General features: G+C 46.3%; 1 annotated feature.

The window, feature by feature from the left end:
• Positions 9,159–9,658: an enhancer, noted in NCBI's record as "H3K4me1 hESC enhancer chr10:126009557-126010056 (GRCh37/hg19 assembly coordinates)". NCBI's record gives its function as "activates a minimal SCP1, AML or CMV promoter by ChIP-STARR-seq in naive H9 embryonic stem cells {active_cell/tissue: H9 hESC(naive)}" and the evidence as "EXISTENCE:reporter gene assay evidence [ECO:0000049][PMID:30033119]".

Raw genomic sequence — 10,106 nt, forward strand, 5'->3', positions numbered from 1 at the left:
AGAGAATATTTTCCCAATTCAAAATATTATGATCTATAATGAAGAGTGTAGTACAGATGTCAATAATTTCAAGTTCATTAACCATAATATGTTTCTCGAACTCCTGGCCTCAAACGATCCTCCCACCTCGGCCTCCCTAGTGGCTGGGACTACAGGCGAGCACAGCTATGCCCAACTAATTTCTTTATTTTTTATTTTTTGTAGAGATGGAGTCTTGCCATGTTGCACAGACTGCTCTTGAACTCCTGAGCTCAAGTGATCCTCCGGCTCCAGCCTTCCAAAGTGCTGAGATTATAGGCATGAGCCACCACGCCCAGCTGTCACTTTTGGTTTTAGAAAGAATTTGATTGTTGAAAATAGTTTGTTGTAGAACCATTTATAGAACCAAAATAATAAAAAACAACTTGTCAGTCAAGAAATAAATATTTCCAAAATATATACATTTCTTGTTATTTTAGAATTTCTTTTCATCCTCAAAAGTGCCTTGGTTTCGTCAATGAAATATAAGTCATGCTAGCCCTGAAGGATGAGGAGGCATATTCGTTTTCTTCTGTTGTATAACAAATTACCCCAAAACTTAACAGCTTAAAACAACCAACGTTCACTATCTCACAGGAGAGCCAAGGCACCGTGTGGATCAAGAGTCCAGATGTGGCTTCCCTGACACCTCCCACTCAGGGTCTCTCACGGGCAGCAGGAGAGTCATTAGCCAGGGCTGTGATTACCTCAAGGTGTGACGAGGGCTGAGAGATCTGCTTCCAAGCTCACTCATGAGGCTATTGAACCTCAAAAGATCTGCTTCCAAGCTCACTGACGTGGTATTGGGCCTATATTCATTTGTTAGGGCTGCCATAACAAATACCACACATTGGGTGGCTTAGACAACAGATGTTTATTTTCTCTTAATTCTGGAGGCTAGAAGTCCAAGTTCAAGGTGTTGCTGGGTTGGTTTCTTCTGAGGCCTCTCTCCTTGACCTGCAGGCAGCCATCTTCTCCCTGTGTCTTCACAGGGTCTTCCTTCTGTTCCTATCTGTTCCTAATCTCTTCTTACAAGGATACCGGTCAAAATAGATTAGGGCCAACCCTAATGACCTCATTTTAAATTAATTATCTCATTAAAAATCCTATCACCAATTATAGTCATATTCTGAGGTACTGAGAGTTAGTGCCTCACATGGCAACAGGGCCTTTCCACCTGAGTGTCTTCACAACATGGCAGCTTATGATCTGAAACAGAGAGAGATCACTAAGATGGAAGTCCTTTTGTAATTTAATCTTGGAAGACACATTCTGTCTTTTCTGCCACCTTCTATGAATCTGAAGAGAAGAGAATCAACAGGTCCAGCTCATCCTCGAGGGGAAGGAATCCCACAAGAGCCTGAATTTCAGAAGACAGCCATCTTGAAGGCTGCCTACCATGCTCTGTAACCATTTTGCCCCAAGTCCAGTTGAGAGACCAGGACTTGAGATTGGGGATACTGGCTTTGAAAGTCAGTTTATCCTCCTTTGGAAGGGTGGGATTGTCAAGAGGTTGTATGAGGAACCCCAACCAATTCTGGTTTCAGAATTTAGAGCAATAGAGGAGGAAAAGAGGCAGGAAGGGAGGTCCAGGAGGGCTTTGCAAATCAAAGGAAGAGGGTGCTATGTGCAGGTCTCGTGCACTCTCCCTGGCAAGCCCCCTGGGCTCCCATAGCAGTGTCTGTTTCCCTTTGCATCTCCTCCTCTCCTCCTACACACACACACACACACATACCCACTCACAGTCACACACCCACATGCGTGAAAACACACTCATACAATCACCTCACACACTTGCACACACACATACATTCAACCACATGAACACACATTCGCACACACAAGTCACACTGGCACACATACTCAGACACACACATCACACACCGCTGCACATGAACTCATATGTGTTCCCAACACACACACACACAGGTAGATGCCATGCAGCAGCCTCCAGCGCCCTCCCTGTGCCTGGCATGTAACCTGTGCTCAGTCAGGGTTGACTTCATTAGTTGAAATATTAAGTCAGGGGAAATTGTGTTTGGGGATCCTTCTTTTCAATTGATCTTTTCAGTTGTTTAACATCGGCTCCTGGGCATTCACCGTGTGTTGAGCCCTCAACTCATGCTTCTCAGAAATAGAAAAATATCATTTTTCTTTCCCACAGTTGCATCTGAACTGACCACGTTTTGAGGGCTTTTTAATCAAATACAGTTTTTCAAATCAGGCAATAACTAGGTCTTATACTCAAGCGCTTGAGAGAGAAGAAAACAGAAAAGATTCTCTCCAAGCAAACTACTAGACCTTCCCACATTTTGGAAGGGAAACTTCTGAAAAAAAAAAAAAAAAAAAAAAAAAAAAAAAAAAAAAAAAAAAAAAAAGCCTGGCCTAATATCCACCCAGTGTATAGGGCTCCAGCTTCCAAAGCCATCCTAAACCAGAGCGTTGGGAATGACACTCTCTGGGGGTGAAATTATGGCTGAATTTGTTGAACTATATTTTCTAAAGAATATCCAATAAGCATGCATTCTTAGTAAGTTAAAGGTTATTTTTAAGATGAAAGAAATAATTATTATTAATAAAATAAATACAAATAATTTAGCCCAGTGGCTGGCAAGTTTAATGAGCTCTATGTTATATTTTGGTTGTTTTCATTGTAAGAAACCCACTGGGAAAGAGCCTGCTTTCTAAGAAGCTGGCATCCTGATAATTTAGTGCCCCTTCCTGGGCCCCTCAGAATCCTGCTATTGAGAGCAGCTTTGGAAGACACAGAAGGTTTAAGTTCTGAGATAGCTCCATAACCCCCACCAGAGAGGGAGGCTTTCTACAATACTCCATTCTTACCCCACAGACTAGGACATGAAGATCTGATATGATTTGGCTGTGTCCCCACCCAAATCTCATCTGGAATCATAGTTTCCATAATCCCCACGTGTTTTGGGAGGGAGCAGGTGGAGATAATTGAATCATGGGGGCAGTTTCCCCCACCCTGTTCTCATGATAGTGAGTTAGTTCTCACAAGACCTGATGGTTTTCAGGGGCTTCCGCCTTCACTTGGCTCTCATTCTGTCTCCTGCCGCCATGTGAAGAAGGATGTGTTTGCCCCCCCTTCTGCCATGATTGTAAGTTTCCTGAAGCCTCCCCAGACATGCTGAATTGTGAGTCAGTTAAACCTCTTTCCTTTATAAATGAGCCAGGCTCACGTGTGTCTTTATTAGCAGCATGAGAACAAACAAATACAGAATCCCAATGAAAATGCAGCAATATCAGAAACATGCACACATTCAAGACCTTAATATCTGCCTCTGAGCAATTTCCTGGTGTATTTTCTTTTACAACAGGGTCATGCCAAACATGCTACTTCCTATTAAAATGTTATTCTTTATTTGATTTCAAAATTATTCTTCACATCTCACCTTCTTCTTTAAGCCATTTTCTCCCTCCAATAAAATCCTGGCACCCAAAGCAGCTCTCAGAACTAAATTAATTATAAAAGCATATTAATGTCATCTGTAGAGCAATGAAATTAATTTATTCAATACATCTAAGAGGAAGTCATCAATTATGACCAGAGATTGTAGCATTTTATGTTACAGCATTTAAAATTCTTACAAATTTTAATATTTCCTCCAGCAAGAATTGCCATAAATATCATCTGCTGTGCAGTCTTGATTTATGAATTAAGTGTAACTTTTAGTCCACTGGTGTTCAAATACTAAACATTTTACTCTTATCTAATGTCTGTTCTTAGATATTTGTACCTGTATGAAAAATAGGGATCTCCATTCCCTTAAGGGTGACCTCTGCCCTCAGAGTACAGAAATATGCAATAGCATCTGTGTGGAGACATATACACGTTTTTAGGAAGTGCTTTCCAGCTTAAGATGCATGATAAGCTCAATACAGGGAAACCCATCCACACCCTCATGTCAGATCTGAATATACCACAGGGCCCCAAATGATTCATTCTCAGAATGAAGAAGGCAGCCAAAGGAAACACACTTTGGTCTTCACTTGTGCCTCTCAAAGGCCATTAGAGGACATGCAATTCATTACCCACCGCGCTTCTTACTACTCCTCTTCCCACCCAATTCCTCCTCTAAGTTACCTGCAAGACCCACAACTAACCAGAAGTTCTCTCTCAGCTCTTCTCCAAAACTCTCCCCTAGAGAAGATATTTGACGTATATCTGACAAATAACTTGTATCCAGACCATATAAGAAATGCCTACAAAGCAATTTCTTAAAAGGCAGACATTCCTAGAAAACCATGAGCCGACTGGGCACAGTGGTCTACAATCCCAGCTACTAGGCAGGCTGAAAAGGAGGATCACTTGAGCCCAGGAGTTTGAGTCCAGCTTGGGCAATGTAGCAAGACCTGGTCACAAGAAAATAATAACAACAGCAAGCAAACAACGGGCACCATGCTGGAACAGGCCCTTCCTGAGAGAGGAGACCCAAAGGGCCACTAAGCATGGGACAAGGTACTCAACTCCACAAATCATCAGTGATAAACAGCAATGAAGTTAAAACAGAACACCCCAGCAGAACAGCTAAAATGAAAAAGATAGAAAAATGCCAAGATCCACAAGGATGTAGAGCAACTGGACCTTTCACAGGCTGCCGGTGGAGTATAAATTGGTCCCATTTAGAACAGCGTCTGGCAGGATATACTGAGCTGAACATATGTGTTCCTGATGACCCAGAAACTTCACTCCTAGGTAAATGCCCAAAAGAAATGAGTCCATATGCTCACCATAAGATATGTACTAGAATATTCATAACAGCTTTATTAAAAATAGCCCCAAACTGAAAACTACGAAACGTCCATCAACAGGAGAATGGAATACAATTGCCAGATAAAATACAGGATGCCCCATTAAATTTGAATTTCAGAAAGCCAACAATAATTTTTGTAGTATAAGCAGGTCCCATACAGCAATATTACCCAAAATGAGCAACTGCTGGGCACAACACGGATGATTCTCACAGACATAAGGATGAGCAGAAGAAGCCAGACACAAAATTACACAAATCGGGTGGTGCCATGTATGTGATCTTCCAAATACAGGCAAAACTCATCCACGCTGTCAGAAGTCAAGCGAATGGGCGGGATGGGTAGTTACTGGAAAGAGACGTAAGGGGCATTTTGGGAGCCTGGAATATTCTGTCTCTTGATCCGGGGGCTGGTCACACTTTGTAAAAATTTGTCAAGCTGTATGCTTAGGACACATGAGCTTTTACAATTGTGGAACATACTCACCCTGGGAAGTATTCTTTGTGTATCTGAAGTTCAGATTTCATGGAGCGTCCTGTAGTTTGTGTGACACCCATCCTCCATTCTCCTGCTAGTGGGTATTTTGTCCATCAACACGTACCACAAGTGTATTTTATATGTGAATAAAAATACAAAAACCTCTCACAGAACCCTGCTCCCAGAATGGGTCCTTCCACAGGAGGATAATGCCAGTGGGCAAAGGGAGAATTTTGAGTGGGCTGGGAGGAGGGTCAGAGGTGGAAACAGGGCTGCAAATACTCACGTAATAATCCTTTTTGTAGCACAGAAAACAAATGTCTTTTGAAGTGCAGAGATCTGACCCCCATCTCCATCCTCTCAGGATTTCAGTTGTCTGCCGGCTAGGCACCTTCAAACTTGATCTGTGTTTGTAGCAGAGAGGGCAGTGGTCACACATTTTTATATATATGTGTGTGTGTATATATACACATACATGTATAATATATATACATATATAATATATATTATATATTTATTTTATATATTTTTTTCTATATATATGTGTGTGTATGTGTGTATCTATATGTGTGTGTGTGTGTGTGTGTGTGTGTGTGTGTGTATACATATGCTTGGGCAGGAGGCAGTCTGAGCATCAGCCACTCCCAGAACTGACAGGGACCCCCGACAGAGCAAGGAGAGACACTGAGAAGTGCAGATGCTTCTTGGACATATATAGAGAGAGAGAGAGACAGACAGACAGACAGACAGAGTCTTGCTCTGTTGCCCAGGTTGGAGTGCAGCAGCGTGATCTCATGTCACTGTAACCTCCGCCTCCTGGGCTCAAGCGATTCTCCTGCCTCAGCCTCCTGAATAGCTGGGATTACAGGTGCGTGCCACCATGCCTGGCTAATTTTTGTATTTTTAGTAGTGACAGGGTGACACCCTGTCACCATGTTGGCCAGGCTGGTCTCGAACTCCTGACCTCAGGTAATCTGCCCGCCTTGGCCTCCCAAGGTGCTGGGAGATTACAGGAGTGAGCCACCGCACCCCACCTGTCCACACATTTTCACTTCCGTCACTTCGGGATTAGGGAACGCAACCTAATCCTGTTTTTAGCACGGAGACGCTGCATGGCCTTGGAAGCCTACATTGAGCCGCTGCTTCCACCTCTCGCACGGCCTCCAAACCCCACCTGGGCTCGAAGTCAGGGCTCTGCCCGCCTCCCATTCTCTGGGCCATGCCCACATGGCCACGTTTTACAGGTGCCTTCATGGGGCAGGAGGCAGCCTAGGCATCAGCCACTCCCAGAACTGACAGGGACCCCCGACAGAGCAAGGAGAGACACTGAGAAGCGCAGATGCTTCTTGGACAGTGGATGGCTAAAGTGCAGACAGAGCAGGAAGCTGAAAGGGAGGAGCTGGAAGTCCAGTGAGCCAGCAAACAAGTACGAAAAGGCACTCTGTAAAAGGCAGTAGAGGGCCCTGGTTAAAGCACAGGCTTTAGAGCCAGACTCAGTTCCAACATCCACTCACTATGCTGCCTTGCGCCCATGACCAACTAGTTGAGCCTCAGTTTTCTCATCTGCAAACTGGGGATAATAATAGTACCGACACTGGATTATTGTGGGGACCAGGTGAGACAGTGTGTGGCGGATTCTATTTTCCAAAGGTGACCACAGTGCACTTTTCCCACACATGCTCATTGGGAACCTCACCACTCTCCCACCAAGTGGAATCTAATTCCCTTCCCTTGAATCTCTGGGGAGCAGAGGGCTTGTCCCTGGCCTGGGATGGACAGAATACAGCAGGAGTGACGCAGCGTGACTTCCAAGGCTAAGGCATAAAAGGTGTCTGCCTTCCACATTGTTAGCTGGTATCCTCGCCTTTGGAGCCCGGGCATCCATTAAAGTCCAGCTACCCGGAAGCCACCATGCTGTCAGGAAGCTCAGGCCACGTGGAGAGGCCACACGTAGGGGCTCCAACTGACAGCTCCTGCTGAGATGCCAGGTGACAGACAATGTTGATGAGTAGCCATGAATGAAGATGCCCCCGTGTGACTCCAGTCCTCAGCTGTCAATACCCCAAGTCATCAGCCTTGAGTCTTCCCAGTGAAGCCCTACACATCATGGAGTAGAGACATGTCACTCCCACTGTGCCCTGTCCAAATCCCCAACGCATATCCACGAGCAAGATCAAATGGTTGCCTTAAGCAATTAAGTGTGGGGGTGGATTGCTACACAGCAATAGTATCAGTTAGGTTTGGCTGTGTAACAAACCACCCCAGAATCTAGTGGCTTAAAACATGCATTTTTTTAAATTTTTTAAAATTATACTTTAAGTTCTGGGATACATGTGCAAAACGTGCAGGTCTGTTATATAGGTATACACGTGCCATGGTGGTTTGCTGTGCCCATCAATCTGTCATCTACATTAGGTATTTCTCCTAATGCTATCCCTCCCCTAGCCCCCCATCCCACAACAGGCCCTGGTATGTGATGTTCCCCTCCCTATGTCCATGTGTTCTCATTGTTCAACTCCCACTTATAAGAGAGAACACATGGTGTTTGGTTTTCTGTTCTTGTGTTAGTTTGCTGAGAATGATGGTTTCCAGCTTCATCTATGTCCCTGCAAAGGACATGAACTCATCCTTTTTTATGGCTGCATAGTATTCCATGGTGTATATGTGCCACATTTTCTTTATCCAGTCTATCATTGATGGGCATTTGGGTTGGTTCCAAGTCTTTGATATTGTGAACAGTGTCACAATAAACATATGTGTGCATGTATCTTTATAGTAGAATGATCTATAATCCTTTGGGCATATACCCAGTAAAACAACATGCATTTATTTAGCTCTCTGTTCTGTGAGTCAGCTGGACAGTGCTTAGGGCTGACTCAGCTGATCTCCACTGGGCTCTCTTTTGCATCTGTGGTCCACTGGTGGGTCGGCTCATGGCTGATTGATCCAGAATGGCCTTGCTCACATGCCTGGCAGTTGGCAAGCTGGCAAGTGGGCAACAGATGCAACTGGGTCACGGGTCTCTCATCACCCAGGAGGTCTGCAGGGCATCTTCACATGGGAGCAGAGTTCCAGGAGCAGCAACAAAAGGCCAGCCCCACTGTGCAAAAGCATTCTCAGGCCTCTACTCACAACATATTTGCTCACATTCCATCAGCCAAAGCAAGTCACGGGGCCAAGTCCAGGGTCAGAATGAGAGGGCTCCCAAAGCACATGGCAAGGAGGCATGGGCCTGGAGAAGAATCTATGGCATTTTTGTTGACAGCCACATTCAGGCATGGACTGTGCCTCCAGCAAATGCTGGCTGCCCACAACATGGACGTAATGACCACAGAGCATGTATTGTTGGGCACTGTCAGCTGGGCACCTCTTTGGACTTAAGCTTACCGTACCTAGAAGAGAAGGTCTGAGAGGAGTGGCTGGGGCTGAAGGTAAAAGAGATAGGCAAGGGGCTAGGGGTGAAGGCCATTCTTCTCTGACTCCTCCGGGACAGCAAGTGTAGCAGAAGGGGACACGATTTGGGAGTCAGAGATGCCCAGGTTTAATTCCAGTTTTGCCATCAGTCCCTGTGAGGCCTCTTGCTCAGCCCCTAAGGTCCCCATCTGCCACAGGGAATAAAAGCAGCCACCTCTTAGTGCTGGGGTGAGAATGAGACGCGGCCACACGCCTGGTGAGAAGAGCCACAGGGTTGGCTGTAAACAGGCCCTGGGAGGCTGGCTGAGGTCTCCTCTGTGCCTGCTGAGTGAAGGTGGCTGGCAAAGACAGAACCAGCTACAAAAGCTCCCCAGCCAAGGCCTACTCAGATGCTCCGCTCTCCAAACCCCATTGTTATGCTACAAAAGACCGGTGCAGCTGCTTACCAAGAAATCACCGGGTCCCTGCTTGTCTGAAGGTCGGCCTCTGCAAACTACAACTGCTCCGATTCCCACACCCACACGTCCATGGGGCTGCGCTTGCGGATGTGCAGTAATTCTTGAGTCTCCTGCTTGGGGTGTTGGCTGTTGTGACTAGATGTCCAGCAGCAGGGCACAGTCAGGACAGCCAAGGAAGAATGGCACACTTTGCAGGGGCTGCACCCCAAAGCAAGGCTCAGACCTAAGCTGTTTCTGCCACGTGACCTTCCCAGGAGGCAGGCTGTGCATGCAAAGGTGCGCCCATCACACAATGCACATGCATGCATGCGCCCACCAACTCCACCCGGTGGCACGCCATCATGTCACTCGAGTGCAAAGATGCCCATCTCCTCTGGGAACTGCTATTCTAGTTACTGCTGGGCCTTGTTGGTTCACCACCACCCCCACCCCTCCGCCCCAGACAAAGAGATGGGAGAGAAGTGAAGATATTTGTGGCAGAAAGAGTAGCACATCAGAACACAAGCAGCGGCACACAGGCCCAGGACACCGCAAAGGTTCTGAGCTCCGTGAATAAGGTGAGACCCGGCGGATGCAGGGCGTCACCTTTCCAGAATATTAGAATTCATCTCGTAGACATTAAGGGGTGGAGGGAAGTTTTTAAGCATCATCGGTGTGGTGGCCAGAGGTGCAGATGGGTTTTCAGGACTATCTGCCTGGGGACTGTGTGGTAGAAGAAGAGATTGGACACAGGTGACCAGTTCAGAGATTTCCGTAGCCAGGCAAGAGCTGCTGGGGCCTAAGCGGGGCCATGACTGCAGGAAAGGAGAGGACGGGATGGACTCAGAGGACACTTCCAGGTTGATATCAGCAAGTTGACTTCAGGCTTTGACCACGCACAGCACCCCTCCAGCCCCCAACCATGGCTGGCGCGGTGGCCCCGTGACTCACTGCCTCTCACAGCCAACCGCAGAGCTCTCCAAGTCT

This window comes from Homo sapiens, chromosome 10, assembly GCF_000001405.40.
Source record: "Homo sapiens chromosome 10, GRCh38.p14 Primary Assembly".
Taxonomy (NCBI): Eukaryota; Metazoa; Chordata; class Mammalia; order Primates; family Hominidae; genus Homo; species Homo sapiens.